This window comes from Homo sapiens, chromosome 5, assembly GCF_000001405.40.
Source record: "Homo sapiens chromosome 5, GRCh38.p14 Primary Assembly".
Taxonomy (NCBI): domain Eukaryota; kingdom Metazoa; phylum Chordata; class Mammalia; order Primates; family Hominidae; genus Homo; species Homo sapiens.
In genome coordinates, this window is record NC_000005.10 from 52,669,749 (window position 1) to 52,686,156 (window position 16,408).

Consider the following 16,408-nt stretch of genomic DNA (forward strand, 5'->3'; position numbering starts at 1 on the left):
AACATTACCTCTGTTTTTTGTCAGGAAAAGATTTTGGCCATTCGTACAAAGATATTTAAAGACATCAGAATGAGTGTTAATGCCCAGGAATAAAATGTAGGAAATGTACAAAAGAAGTCTGGGAACAACTTACATGTAAGAAACTGGAGGAAGAAAGGAACCCCAGAAAAGGAGGAGAAAACAGGAAAACAATCATGAGATCGTGATCATTCAACCAAGGAAAAGCAAAGTGTCAGCATGAAGGTGCTGTTGACAAGATCTAGGGACGCTGAGGTATTGAAGCTGTACAGTCCAATACAGTAGCCAATGGCTATGAGTGCCTGTTTAAATGTAAATCAGACTAAATTTAAAATGTATTTCCTCAGTTGCATTAGCCACATTGTAAGTGTTTAATACCCACAAGAGGCAAGTGGGTTGTGTATAAAAATAGTGCAGCTATAGAACAAATTTATTTTGGCAGAAAGTTCTTTTAGATAGTATTGGATTGAGGAATATAAAGACTGAAATAAAAGTCAACATGAAGGTGGTCTCTCAAGGCAGTTAAGGAGTTAAGATTAGATCAGAATTCCTTACTCACTTACCCTAAGTGTGTCCTTCCACAAATTACTTGATCTCTTTAGACCCAATTATTAGCATTTACCTCCTGGAGTTGTTTTTTAAGTGATTAAATAGTAATATGTATGTATTTTATTGTTATTCCTGGACCACTGTTAGTCCTCAATAAAAGGAAAGAGCAGCTGCAGCAGTGGAATACAGAGGGGTTAGAAGCCCTATTGCTATTGATTAAGAAGAAAGTCGGAGGTTAATATGTGGATGCCGCAGGCCTAGACCACACTTTAATAGATCCAGAAAGCTAGGAAGGCAGATTGTGCGGGTAACAGTTTGGGGAGGAGTTCTTTTCTGGTAAGTGTCCCAGAGGAAGTATGGGCATGAGGGGATAACAGAGAAAGTACAGGAAGAGGGAACAAATAGGAAGAAAGCTGGAAAGGATGTGTAAGCATCAATCTATGTCTTCTGATTGTTGAAGGGATGGTTGTGTTGTCTGACAAAGATAATATCACACATCAGTGGGGAGATTGGATAGGGGAATTTTTACTGGGAAAGGGCAAGGAGGAAGTCAAAGTAGGAGCAAGAAGTGTTCCCCATTCTCCCTGAAATTGCATTATTACAAGGGCAAGAATTGGTTTTATTTCTAAAACCTTAACCTGACTTTGTTAGTATTTGCCACCGCCTGAAATCCTATGTTAACAATCATTCTGAGGCTGTATTTGGACTCACTGGGAAGTAGTGCATGAATAAAGAACCATTTCATGGACATAGAAATCTTGCCCTAAGGTCAACAGTGCATATGAACCTGGTTTAACTGGTTTCAAGTGGCCAAATGATCACAGCCAGAAAGAACCATCCTTGGCTTTTTCTGCCCTGAAGGTTTCTTGCTTCTGGGACACACGGACTTCAAGGACTTAGATTCTGCCTCTGGAGAACTGTGCTCTGGTGTCTCACACCCATGTAACCCACAGGTCATATCCTGTTCCTTCACCAAATCATAGTAAATTCCAAGCCCCAATTCCCCATCCTTCCTGTGCTTCAAGACTTTAGATGGCCTCGATGCTGATATTCCTTCCAAAGAGCATTAGTAGCCACTTGAACCTTGAAAGACAGAGAATAGTTCATTGAACCAGTTAAGAACACCTAAGTCATGGAAGATGGAGGCTGGGATGAAAACAGAGTAGTGATACAAAGGATTTAGTCTAGACCCTTTTTTGTTTTCTTGCATTTCCATATAGGAATGAAAATGATGAACGTTGAACTGATATAAAGAAATGCCTCATTAAACATGATTTTACAAATTCAGAACCTAGAAAAGGAAATTTTAAATATTCTTTATTGCAGTCTCCATATATTATTCATTTTTGTATGAACTTTAAGTACCTACTAATGATCAATCAATGCATTTGACACTGGTGATAAAATTATGAACAAGATGCCACTTCTGACTTCAGGGCAATTAAGGCCCTGCATCTAGTGGGCACACAATGATTTCTGTTGCTTTTAAATGAATTAAGGAAAATAATGAGGGTTTTATTTGACTACACATATGGGGAAATTAATTGCAATAATTATGTGATCGTTTACATATATCGTGCCTAAAAACTTCCTAGAACAATAATCATAGTGATCACTAAATGTGTCAAAACAACTTAGTCATAAGATATATTTGATTAGAATATCTAATTCACTTTAATGTATTAGATTCTCTTCATAATTTTTAGTCATAGTCCAGTATCCCCCATACTTGAAGAAAACACAGAGAATATTGCTCACATCTTAGTTCCCAATCAATTAAAAGCCCAGCATAGCTGCTTATTCCTACCCCCTCCCACCCTCTCCAACAAAATATTCAGTTTGGGAAGAAACGCTAATTTTGACCTGAATTAGGTCAAGGTTTGCCAAAAATATAGTGGCGAGACATTAACACACATTTAGCTGTTCTGCTTTCATATTATTGTTTTTTCTTAAATGGAGTCATTTATGATAGGTTCATGGAGAACTCAGAGAAAATGGAAGAATTGGTTTGAATGATTCTGTTCAGTAGGAAAAAGACGGGAGTATGGCTAATCCTTAAGGTTTTATTCTCCATGATCAAATGACTTTGAAAAATTAAAGAGTTTGGAAAATGAGACAAGGAGTATTTAAACTAAAACAGGGAACTCTCAGAAGTTTGTTGAGCTAGACTAAAAAAAAAAAAAAAAAAAAAACAGGGGAATGTGAAATTCAAAGAAGCCTTGCTCTTTGAATCTCAGTGCTGTTACACAGGAGCTAGTGGCTTTTGGAGTCCAACAGAACCTTTCATTTCTCTCTGAGGCAAAATGTTTACATGTAGATACAAGAGCTCTGTAAATCAACCAAATCAGTGCATCAACTCTCTTTCTGTTTATATACACTAAGCATATGCTTCCTGTGACCACTTCAAAAGAAATATAACTTTCTTGAATATTATTTAAGTGCAGCTCGATGGCTGTGAAAGAGAGAAAGTATAACTGACTTTGAATCTTTTACTACATGGGTGGAGAAAGAAGGAAGGAGTGATTGAAATGTTACACTGACCAGTCTAGGAAATGGGTAATAACTTGTGATTAAATGCAGATGTTAACCTGAAAAATTCAGTTAATCACAGATATTAAACATGCCTGGAAGCCATAAAAAGGCAGAAGGTAAACCAATGAATAACCTTGCGTTGAAATCGTGTAGTGACACACAATTCACATTGGAATAAAATAATGGACTAAATTTAAATTACTTCAACTTTTCCATCTTGTATAAATGTTTATGTACAAATGAACAGACCAGTACATGGACTAGTAACCAGGGAACATTGGCAACTTGAATATATCAAAATCAAAATGGAAAGATCCAGGAACAACAGGTATGTAAGTACCACTTGGAAAGGAACAAGCTGAAAAATATTCCATTTGAGTAAGCATAAACCACATTAGAAACAAACATTATAAATAGGTTTTAAAATCCAGAATACCTGTTACATCTAGCGATACTGCACTAATATAAAAAGCAGATCATAATTTTCCATAAGTGGTGCTTGGAAATCACAACTAGGCATTTCATAGCTAATGCTCCACAGTCTAGTACTGGACTTGGGATATAATAATCGACACTCAATAAATGTTGGTTCTGATTTATTGTTAGCAGTGCTCCTCAAAATAAAAAGCCAGAATGTTCTATAAATAAGAAGACTTCAAAAACATTGAAATAAGCAAGTATAATTGCTACTATAATACATATATTCATACATTTTGCCAGCAGTCACCACTCTTTGCCACCTCAAGTTACCAATCTAACATTGTTGACAAGCACCTATATTTCACTTTGAGTTCCAATCAGTCTCGCATTCATCATTTTCAGCTGCTGATTTATCACTTTCAGCAGCTGGTTCTTCAAAGCCCACTGTAAATACAGGCAGGAGCTTGGTGATAGAATAGGATAACCACAAGTTGCAAAGTGGCTTTTGCAAACAGAAAATAAAACGATTTCCCACCATTTCTGCTTTCCAAGCACCCTCCAAGATGTAGTCTAGCAAAATGTGGGGACTCCCCATGTCCATATTTCAAAAAAGTTCAGTCTTGCGAGCCACAATCTTGGTCAAATTACATTAGAGAAATTGAAAGAGGATTTCAAAGTTATGAAGTAATGGACAATCAAAATAAAAAGGAGTTTAATGTTGAAGGAAACCACTGAGACTGAAAATTGTGAATTCCTACTATTATTGATCCAATTGCTTATGGAGTTGAATTTTTTTTCTGGTAGATTAAAAGATTGAGGCAGTGTTGTTGGTGTACAGAGAGAGTTTTGTTGAAAAACAAATGGAAAGGGTAATCAACAGAATTGGCAAATAGTGATTATAATAATAACAGTAATAATGAAAACAAACCCTAATTGCACATGTAATTCTGCATAGAATATAAAGGAAATGGGGTCAAATGGATGACTGAGTGGAAGGATAAGAGCGTTTAAGTAGTCGAAGAACAGTGGCTGTACTAGTTAAGAGTGTAACCACACAGATTCTCTGACCCATGAGACACATTGAATGTGAAGAAGGAAACGGCAGTCTTTTTGTGGCAAGAATGGAAGATGAAGAACATGAAAGTTAAAAGTTAAAAGTTAAAAGTCACGTCTGATCTCATACCTACAGTCTTTTTTTTTTGGAGACAGACTCTCGCTCTATTGCCTGGCTGGAGGGTAGTGGCGCAATCTCGGCTCACTGCAACCTCCGAATCCCTGGTTAGAGAGATTCTCCTGCCTCAGCCTCCTAGTAGCTGGGATTACAGGCACACACCACCACACCTGGCTAATTTTTGTATTTTTAGTAGAGACGGGATTTCACCGTGTTGGCCAGGATGGTCTTGGTCTCCTGACCTCATGATCTGCCCACCTTGGCCTCCTGAACTGCTGGGATTACAGGAATGAGCCATCGTGCCTGGCCACCTACTGTCCTTTAATAATAACCGAAAAGAAAAATTTAGTTAATGAGGCACATGGGACTCCATCAAATGTAATTTCTTGCCCATTCAAGCATACAAACATTTTTGATGGGCCAATGACTGGCAAAGTTCGTAATGTTATCATTGTGTTTCTACAGATCACAGGAAAAAATACTCCACAAAACAGGCTGAAAAAAAAACTGCAAAACAAATTCCAACTCATTTCCTGTGTTGAATTGGAAAACGTAATACCAAAGAGCATTGGTCATCATTGTCACAACTGGAGTCTTAAATGTAACTTCATAAGTTTCAGTTTCTCATTGAGAATCTATGCCTATCAACAAGGAAATATAAATACATTTGTTCAATTAGAGAGAAACTAATTCTTCTGACATTTTTCTTCCTTGTTATTCCCCTGGGCACAGTCCTGAAATAAAAATAGAATTATTCCCATCATCTTTTATTCAATTTAAGTTTAAACTATAATTGGGTATATCCAGGGATAAAATAATGAGTGTATTTAAGGATAGAAATAGAGTCTGTAACCTCTTAAGAATTTAGTGAAATTCTATCCCTTGTGAGTTGCGGTTTACCCAGGCAGCTTTGCCAGAAGATCCCTATTCCATTTGATGAGGTGAGTCACCTTGTTTATCACAGGCTTCTTCACGTTTAAGACTTTTCTTGGTTCATCAATGCTGGCTCCATCACCAGAGATCTTTCCGTGTTTCTTCACCCTCTAAAATCTTTGTAGATTTTGATGCTTATATTTGATCTGAGGTTTCTTTATCTGAAAGCAATGATTCTGTTTGAAGGGATCAGAGTTCACTTTGATGCATCATAACATAAAATAAGAAAGTATCGATGAAGCAGCCTGCAAATATTAGCAAATTGAAATTATAAATCCAGTTGATCTTAGCATACCACAAATGCTTTTATTCAGAAAATACATTCATTAAAGCCAAGAACAAATATATTGTTTGTAACTCCAGTGCCTATAAGAGTGCCTAATTCACAATAGGTGCTCGACAACTATTTATTGACTGACAGTGAATGACTGTTGACAGAAAAATAATTTAGATTTAGAAATGGCCTTAATTGAAGGATCCTGATGCCTATAACATTAACTTGCTGTCCTAGAAAACTGATTGGGGTAGGGGATGGTCGGGGGAAAGTTCTAGATGATTATTTATGATCTTGTCTGAGATTGCTAACTCAGTAAAAGATACAAAGTGAAGCCCAAAACACTCAATTGTGTTTCCACCATGTCTTTTTAAAAAAAATTATTTTGAAATAATTGTGACTCATAAACAATTATAAGAAAAAACAGTCAGAAATTGCACTGAACATTTACCCAGTCTCCCCAGCACTGTAAAATTTCCAACCAGGAATTTTACAGTGATACAATCAATACACCTTAGTTTTACATGCATTTATTTGTGTGTGTATTTAGTTCAATGCAATTTTATCACGGGTGTAGATTCGTGATCCACTTAGATATCTTCTATTATTTTTAACACAATTTTATATCAAAGAAATTTCTGCCAGGGGTGAAGGTACCCTTACGGAAATGACAGAAATCAGAGAATCTACTACTGGATGTGGGTATGTGAGTAAGCACAAAAGTCAAAGTTCAGCTAGATTGTCTGCAGTACTATAAATAGAGGGAGATATGAACAGAATAAGATAAAACCTCCCTGGAGCTACACAGATAAATTAGGAGCTGGTAAAACTCTTATGAAGGAATCACGTAAACTGCAGAATATGAGAGAGGATAGGAACTCGGAAATTTGTTAATATGAAAAAGGCAGGACAGATAGAAACAAAATCCAGATGTTGGTCAATATGGGGAAAATATTGAGGGAAAGATTTAGGGCAATGAAAGAAGGTAATAGATACACAGAGAGAAAGATAGCAAGAGAGATTGATTATAGGGACTTTTTCATTTCTTCAAAAAAAACAAAAATGGGATACATGTGCAGAAGGTGCAGGTTTGTTACATAGTTTGCTGCACCTATTGACCCATCCTCTAAGTTCCCTCCCCTCAACCCCCACCCACCAACAGGCCCTAGCATGTGTTGTTCCTCTCTCTGTGCCCATGTGTTCTCAATCTTCAACTCCCACTTATGAGTGAGAACATGCAGTGTTTGGTTTTCTGTTTGGTGTTCCTGTGTTAGTTTGCTGAGGATGATGATTTCCAGCTTCATCCATGTCCCTGCAAAGGACATAATCTCATTCTTTTTTATGGCTGCAGAGTATTCCATGGTGTATATGTACCACGTTTTCTTTATCCAGTCTATCATTGATGGGCATTTGGGTTGGTTCCATGTCTTTGCTATTGTAAATAATGCTGCAGTAAACATATGTGTGCATGTGTCTTTATAGACACAGTAGAATGATTTATAATCCTTTGGGTATATACCCAGTAATGGATGGAATTGCTGGGTCAAATTGTATTTCTGGTTCTAGATTCTTGAGGAATCACCATACTGTCTTCCACAATGGTTGAACTAATTTACACTCCCACCAACAGTGTAAAAGCATTCCTGTTTCTCCACAGCCTTGCCAGCATCTATTGTTTCCTGACTTTTTAATAATCGCCATTCTGACTGGTGTGAGATGGTATCTCATTAGGGTTTTGATTTGCACTTCTCTGATGATCAGTGATGTTGAGCTTTTCTTCATATGTTTGCTGGCCATGTAAATGTTTTCTTTTGAGACATGCCTGTTCATATCCTTTGCGCACTTTTTGATGGGGTTGTTTTTCCCTTGTAAATTTGTTTAACTTCCTTATAAATTCTGGATATTAGACCTTTGTCAGATGGGTAGATAGCAAAATTTTCTCCCATTCAGTAGGTTGCCTATCCACTCTGATGATAGTTTCTTTTGCTGTGCAGAAGCTCTTTAGTTTAATTAGATCCCATTTGTCAATTTTGGCTTTCGTTGCAATCACTTTTGGCATTTTTGTCATGAAGTATTTGCCCATGCCTATGTCCTGAATTGTATTGCCTAGGTTTTCTTCTAGGGTATTTATGGTTTTGGGCTTTACATTTAAGTCTTTAATCCATCTTGAATTAATTTTTGTATAAGGTATAAGGAAAGGGTCCAGTTTCTGTTTTCTGCCTATGGCTAGCCAGTTTTCCCAGCACCACTGACTGAATAAGAGATCCTCTCCCCATTGCTTTTTTTGTCAGGTTTGTCGAAGATCAGATGATTGTAGGTGTGTGGTGTTATGTTCCGAGGTTTCTGTTCTGCTCCATTGGTCTATATGTCTGTTTTGGTACCAGTACTATGCTGTTTTGGTTACTGTGGCCTCATAGTATAGTTTGAAATCAGGTAGCATGCTGCCTCCAGCTTTGTTCTTTTTGCTTAGGATTGTCTTGCCTATATGAGATCTTCTTTGATTCCATATGAAATTTAAAGTAATTTTTTCTAATTCTGCTAAGAAAGTCAATGGTGGTTTGATGGTAATAACATTGAATCTATAAATTACTTTGGGCAGTATGGCCATTTTCATGATATTGATTCTTCCTATCCATGAATATGGAATTTTTTTCCATTTATTTTTGTGTCCTCTCTTATGTCCTTGAGCAGTGGTTTGTAGTTCTCCTTGAAGAGGTCCTTCATATCCCTTGTTAGCTGTATGCCTAGGTTTTTTATTCTCTTTGTAGTATTGTGAATGGGATGATTTGACTCTCTGCTTGCCTATTGATTCATGATTCGACTCCCTGCTTGCCTATTGTTGGTATAAAGGAATGCTGGTGATTTTTGCACATTGATGTTGTATTCTGAGACTTTACTGAAGTTGCTTTTCAGTTCAAGAAGTTTTGGGGCTGAGATGATGGCATTTTCTAAATATAAAATCATGTCGTTTGCAAACAGAGACAACTTGACTTCCTCTCTTCCTATTTGAATACCCTTTATTTCTTTCTCTTTCCTGATTGCCCTGGCCAGAACTTATAATACTATGTTAAATAGGGGTGGTGAGAGAGGGCATCCTTTTCTTGTACCAGTTTTCAAAGGGAATGCTTCCAGCTTTTTCCCATTCAGTATGATATTGGCTTTGGATTTGTCATAAATAGCTCTTATTATTTTGGGATATGTTCCATCAATACCTAGTTTAATGAGAGTTTTTAACATGAAGCCATGTTGGATTTTATCAAAGGCCTTTTCTGCATCTACTGAGATAATCATGTGGCTTTTGTCTTTGGCGCTGTTTATGTGATGGATTACGTTTATTGATTTGTGTATGTTGAACCTGCCTTGCATGTCAGGGATGAAGCCGATTTGATCTTGGTGGATAGGCTTTTTGACATGCTGCTGGATTCAGTTTGCCAGTATTTTACTGAGGATTTTCGCATCAATGTTCAACAGGGATATTGGCCTGAAGTTTTCTTTTTTGTTGTTGTGTTTCTTCCCAGTTTTGGTATCAGGATGATGCTGGCTTCAAAAAATCAGTTAGGGAGGAATCCCTCCTTTTCAATTCTTTGGAATACTTTCAGAAGGAATGGTACTAGCTCCTCTTTGTATTTTTGGTAGAATTCACCTGTGAATCTGTCTGGTCATTGGCTTTTTTTTGGTTAGTAGGCTATTAATTACTGCCTCAATTTCAGAGTTTGTTATTGGTCTATTCAGGGATTCGACTTCTTCCTGGTTTAGCCTTGGTAGGGTGTATGCGTCCAGAGATTTATCTATTTCTCTTAGATTTTTCTAGTTTATTTGTGTACTGGTGTTTCTAGTATTCTCTGATGGTAGTTTGTATTTCTGTGGGGTCAGTGATGATATCCACTGACATGATTTTTTATTTTGTCTATTTTATTCTTGTCTCTCTTCTTCTTTATTAGTCTAGCTAGAGGTCTATTTTGTTAGTTTTTTCAAAAAAAGAGCTCCTGTATTCATTGATGTTTTGGAGGGTTTTTCGTGTCTCTATCTCCTTCAATTCTTCTCTGATCTTAATTATTTCTTGTCTTTTGCTAGCTTGTGGATTATTTTGCTCTTGCCTCTCCGGTTCTTTTAATTGTGATGTTAGGGTGTTGATTTGAGATCTTTGTAGTTTTCTGATATGGGCACTTAGTGCTATAAATTTCCCTCTTAACACTACTTTAGCCATGTCCCAGAGAATATGGTATGTTATCTCTTTGTTCTCATTGGTTTCGAAGAACTTCTTGATTTCTGCCTTAATTTTATTATTTATGCAGGAGTCATTCAGGAGCAGGTTGTTCAATTTCCATGAAATTGTGTGGTTTTGACTGAGTTTCTTAATCCTGAGTTCTCATTCGATTGCACTGTTGTCTGAGAGATTGTTATGGTTTCCGTTCTTTTGCATTTGCTGAGGAGTGTTTTACTTCCAATTATGTGGTGAATTTTAGAATAAGTCCCATGTGGCACTGAGAATAATGTATATTCTGTTTATTTGGGGTGGAGGGTTCTGTAGACCTCTACTAGGTCCACTTGATCCAGAGGCAAGTTCAAGTCCTGAATATCCCTGTTAATTTTCTGTCTCATTGATCTGTCTAATACTGACAGTGGGGTGTTAAAGTTTCCCACTATTATTGTGTGGTAATCTAAGTTTCTTTGTAGGTCTCCAGAAACTTGTTTTATGAATCTGGGTGCTCCTGTATTGGGTGCATATATATTTAGAATACTTAGCTCTTCTTGTTTAATTGTTCCGTTTATCATTATATAATGCCCTTCTTTGTCTTTTTTTATCTTTGTTGGTTTAAAGTCTGTTTTGTCAGAGACTAGGATTGCAACCCCTGCTTTTTTGTTTGTTTGTTTGTTTGCTTTCAATTGCTTGGTAAATATTCCTCCACCCCTTTATTTTGGGCCTGTGTAAGATGGGTCTCTGAATACAGCACACCAGTGGGTTTTGACTCCTTATTCAATTTGACAGTCTGTGTCTTTTAATTGGGGCATTTAGCCCATTTACATTTAAGGTTAGTATTGTTATGTGTGAATTTGATCCTGTCATCATTATGCTATTTGGTTATTTTGCACACTAGTTGATGCAGTTTCTTCATAGTGTCATCAGTCTTTATATTTTGGTGTGTTTTTGCAGTGACTGTTACCAGTTTTTCCTTTTCATATTTAGTGCTTCTTTCAGGAGCTCTTGCAGGGCAGGCCTGGTGGTAACAAAATCCCTCAGCACTTGCATGTCTGGAAAGGGTTTTATTTCCCTTTCGCTTATGAAGCTTAGTTTGGCCGGATAGGAAATTCTGGGTTGAAAATTCTTTTCTTTAAGAATGTTGAATGTTGGCCCCCCATCTCTTCTGGCTTGTAGAGTTTCTCCAAGAGGTCTGCTGTTAGTCTGATGGGCTTTCCTTTGTAGGTGACCTGGCCTTTCTCTCTGGTTGCCCTTAACAGTTTTTCCTTCATTTCAACCTTGGAGAATCTGATGATTATGTGCCCTGGGGTTGATCTTCTCATGGAGTATTTTAATGGTGTTCTCTGTATTTCCTGAATTTGCATGTTGGCCTATCTTCCTAGGTTGGGGAGGTTCTCTTGCATAATATCCTGAAGTGTGTTTTCTAGCTGGTTTCCATTCTCCCCATATCCTTCTGGTACTCCAATCAATCGTAGGTTCAGTCTTTTTATGAAGTCCCATATTTCTTGGAGGCTTTCTTCATTCCTTTTCATTCCTTTTTCTCTATTCTTTTCTGCACATCTTATTTCAGTAAGGTGGTCTTGAAACTCTGATATCCTTTCTTGCACTTGGTCTATTCAGCTGTTGATACTTGTATATTCTTCACAAAGTTCTCGAGCTGTGTTTTTCAGCTCCATCAGGTCATTTATGTTCCTCTCTAAGCTGGTTATTCTGGTTAGCAATTCCTCTAACGTTTTGTCAAGGTTCTTATCTTCTTTGCACTGAGTTAGAACATGCTCCTTTAGCTCAGTGTAGTTTGTTATTACCCATCTTCTGAAGCCTATTTCTGTCAATTCGTCCATTGGATTCTCCTCCAGTTCTGGGCCCTTGATGGAGAGACATTGTGATCATTTGGAGGAGAAGAGGAACTCTGGTCTTTTGGGTTTTCAGCATTTTTTCGTGATTCTTTCTCATCTTCATGAGTTTGTGTAGTTTGGTCTTTGAGGCTGCTTACCCTTGGATGGGGTTTTTGTGGGGGCCTTTTTTGCTATTGTTGTTGATGCCATTGTTGTCGCTTTCTGCTTGTTTCCTTTTCTTTCAATAGTCAGGTCTCTCTTCTGTAGGGCTGCTGCAGTTTGCTGGGGGTTCACTTCAGGCCTTATTCATCTGATTCACTCACATGCCTGGAGATGTCACTCAAGGAGGCTGGAAAACAGCAAAGATGGGTGCCTGCTCCTTCTTCTGGGACCTCTAACCTTGAGGGACACCAGCCTGATGCCAATAGGATCGCTCCTGTATAAGGTGCCTGACAGCCCCTATTGGAGGGTCTCACCCAGTTTGGTCGCACAGAGAGCAGGACCCATTTAACGAAGCACTTTGTCCCTTGGTGGAGAGAGTGTGTTTCGCTGGGGGGAAACCCACTCATCTGGGCTGCCCAGATTCCTCAGAACTACTAGGAGGAGAGGCTAAGCCTGCTGGTCCACAGAAACTGAGGCCACCCCTACCTCTAGGGGTTCAAGCCCAGGGAGATACAAATTCTGTCCCTGAGCCTCTGGCTAGAGTTATTGGAGATTCTGCAGGGAAGACCTGCCCAGTGAGGAAGGATGGGTTAGGTTTAGGCCTGAAGAGGCACTCTGGTTGAATACTGCCACAGCCAGTGTGTTGGGCTGTGGGGACAAGTCTTAGGACCAAGCCGTCCAGCCTCCCTGGCTCCAGCAGGGAAAAAGTACACCCTGGAGCTATAGAAATGGGCACCATCCTTCCCCCACCAAGGCAGCTTAGCATGTTAGGCAGTTGCCAGTCCCAGTGCTGGCTGCTGCCCCTCCCCCAAGGAGCTCAAATGGCTTAGACAGCAGGCAGCCACACCCAGTGCTGGTCGCCCCTCCCCCCGGGAATTCGGTGGGCTTCAGCAGATTCCCACTGAGAGGCTGTCAGAATCTGTGCATTCCAAGGTTGGGATGCTAGGCCCAGGAAGCATAGGTTTGCGAGTGGGATCTTCCGATCCATGGATTGCACAGTTCCGTGGAAAAAAGCACAGTTTCCCTGGGTGGGTAGCAGGCTCACTCACTGCTTTTCTTGGTTGGGGGCAGGGGGTTCCCCTTCCCCGTGTGGCTTTCAGATGGGCAGCCACACCACACTGCCCTTCCTTCTCTCCGTGAGTCACAACGCCTTCTAGTCAATTTTGATGAGAGAACCTGGATATCTTGGTTGCCAGTGAAGGATTCACATGCTTATTCTTTTTTTTTTTTTTTTTTTCACTTTTCATTTTCTAAAGTTAGCATCTCTCTTGTCCCTTATAGTCCTATTAATTGCATACCACATTTATTTTTAAAGACCTAGTCAACAAAACTATTGGGTTTAGTGAAATAATAAGGCATAGCATTTCATAAACCAGACAAGATATGAGTCACGTCTTTTTTGAAGATTCTTACACACACACACACACACACTCCCAGATACACACGCATGCCGCATGCACAAACAAACTTGGAACTACCCTTTCAAGTAGAAGACTAAACACATCAGGGTAACATCCTAAAATTATTGGTATCTTGTTAGTGTTCCTTCCTTTATTTTTGCATGCCAAAATGAGAGGTAATAAGACAACTGCTATCTCCCATAAAAAGGCTATAAGAACTGGAAAAATGGTGTGTTTATAGAAAAGTACTCCATAAATTTTAATCGAAATAGTATTCTGCTTCCTAAATCTTAGCAAAAATAAACATTCATTCTTTTGATCTATATTTTTCTTCTTCATGAAACTGCAGTTTTATCTCTAAAGTTTTGCTTCTGTAGATCACTTAAGTTAAAAACCTGAAGCCATGCCATTCCCTAGAGTTTTTGCAATGTTCAGATATTCCGACTTCCTAATCAATCTTGCTTACTTGCTGTATAAGAATGTTTGGGGCCAGGCATGGTGGCTCACGCCTGTAATCCCAGCACTTTGGGAGACCGAGGCGGGCAGATCACCAGGTCAGGAGATCAAGACCCTCCTGGCTAACATGGTGAAACCTCGTCTCTACTAAAAATACAAAAAATTAGCCGCGCATGGTGGCGGGTGCTTGTAGTCCCAGCTACTTGGGAGGCTGAGGCAGGAGAATGGCGTGAACCCGGGAGGTGGAGCTTGCAGTGAGCTGAGATAGTGCCTCTGCACTCCAGCCTGGGCAACAGAGCAAGACTCCGTTTCAAAAAAAAAAAAAGAATGTTTGATAGCTTTTCCTGGGCAATCTATTGGCTCTCTGCTCACCCATCAGTCATCTCCCACAGCAACTGATGTAAAGAAATTATTAAACATTTTGTTAATTTCTGCATTCTTTTTTCAACTAATATTCTTTCATTTTTATAATAGCCTATCACTTCCATACTTCTGATCTTCGACCACATTTATAATTAACTATTCACATTCTTGAGGGATTAGACATACAAATTCTTGGGAAGCCAGTACACAGTGCTCTTTTTATCCTCCTAACTGAGCTACAAATAAAAAAAAATTCTTATAAAAATAAGATTTGGCCCTGGGTTTAGAAGAAACTAAAATAAACAAAATGACATTCAGAGTGGGTCCACCAAAAAATAATATGTTAGTGTCATCTTGAAAACTTTGGCTTTCCAAATTCTACAAATTGCACATGCATACACACACACACACACACACACACACACACACATAACCCTAACTTTTAAACAGATAATTAAAAGAGGGAAAAATTGACACTAAAATAAAATGTCACTCATATAGTATAGAAAATTGCAAAGCAAATCACAAAAATTTATTTTAAAAAATACTGGACTCCTAGTACAATTAAGTGTCCCCTGAGGTTCAGGACAATTGGACCTAGGATAAAAATGACTTATAACAGAGTTGTTTTAGTACCTTTAACAGTCTACTTAAGCATGGAAGGAGGTGACATGCTCTTACACACTGTTTCCCACCTTTCGCTAAACCCATGAAACAAAGTTTTAAAAAACTTTTAGAAAAAAATGTTACCCACTAGACTGGCAAAGTAGTAAGAATGCTTACCAAAGTTCAGAGCAGTAAGAAAGGGAAAAGGATTTAACAAAATGTATCAGGAGCCCAATCCTATTCTCTGTGTGAGTTTAAAATCTAATTCACACCAAGCAAAAATTTATTATAAAAACTAGCCCGGAATCAGAGAAACTCATGGAGGTCTACTGTAAGCAAATTTAATCCATCCTTTAGCCCTGAGTACCAGTACTTATGGGTCAATAGGAGCTGAAGTTGTAGCTGCTACCAAATGACTGCATACAGGGCAACCATGGGAGAGAACCAGCAGGCTCAAGAAGTAGCAAATTTTGTACACAAAGGACAAAAAGTATTCTTTTTAATCAGAGAGAAGCTCTAAATAAGTAAATTTAGAATATTATAAGAAAGAAAGGAATAAAATAGAGAAATAATAAAGTGTCTCCATAGTAATAGGAAAATGTAAAAAAAGACTAGAAACTGGTTAAAATGGAATGTTTAAAAAAGAGAAATACATACGTGTGTCAGGGATCCCCAAGACCACCCTCAGGCTTGGTGATTTACTTGAAGTATTTACAGGACTCAGAAAAGCCACTACACTTTTGGTTACAGTTTAATACAGCAAAAGAATACAGATTAAAAGCAGTAAGAGAAAAAGGCACACAGGGTGAAGTCCAGGAGGCACCAGGCACATACTTCTATGTGTCTTTTCCCAGTGGAGTTACACAAACCTGTTTAATTATGCCAACAATAATGTGTAATGACACGTGTGAGGTGTTGTCAGTCAGGAAAGCTCACCTGAGTCTTGTGTCCAAGGTGTTTATTGGGGGTCAGTGATGTAGGCATGTAGTCACATAAGCACCTCAGCTACTCAGATTCCAGCCCTGCAGAGCAAAAACAGGTGCTTGACATAAACCACAGTGTTAGCATAAACTATCTGATCAAATTGTGTCCCTTGCCTCAGGCACACAAAAGCTATCAGGCAGAATATTCCAAAGATTCAGAGTTCATCTCCAAGGAGCTGTCCAAGAGCAGGTTCTGAAGACAATTCCTTTCTGAAGGTGTAAGTTTTGAGCAACTCACACCTGCAAGTTAACCCTTTCCTGCACAGATTTATAAAATTTAAAGAAAAAAATATCAGTGAAAAAAACACAAGAATAAGACACAAAGAAAATATAAATGGATAAATTGAAAGACAAATCCAAGGACGCCTCCCAGAATTCAGTACAAATTGACAAAGGTAAATACAGAGACATGTGGCCCACAAGGAAGAGCTATGAAAAGATAAAATAGACAGAATTAGAGAAAGGCTCTCATTGTGCAGAGAGATGCGAAGAACAATAATCTCAG

The 16,408-nt window shown here is 38.5% G+C and overlaps 1 long non-coding RNA gene across 9 annotated transcripts in view; it reads right to left on the reverse strand.

The window, feature by feature from the left end:
- Window positions 1-3,678: 3,678 nt before the first annotated feature.
- Window positions 3,679-16,408, reverse strand: part of PELO-AS1 (PELO antisense RNA 1) — a 127,387-nt gene continuing 114,657 nt past the window's right edge. For 5 of the 9 annotated variants that reach the window (NR_186447.1, NR_186453.1, NR_186452.1 and 2 more), the window contains 2 exons: window positions 15,857-15,942; window positions 3,679-5,868 (listed from right to left, as the gene is read on the reverse strand). This is a non-coding gene — a long non-coding RNA (PELO antisense RNA 1). The remainder of the gene's footprint in view (window positions 5,869-15,856; window positions 15,943-16,408) is intronic. The other 4 variants (NR_186455.1, NR_186451.1, NR_186449.1 and 1 more) reach the window with 2 other exon arrangements.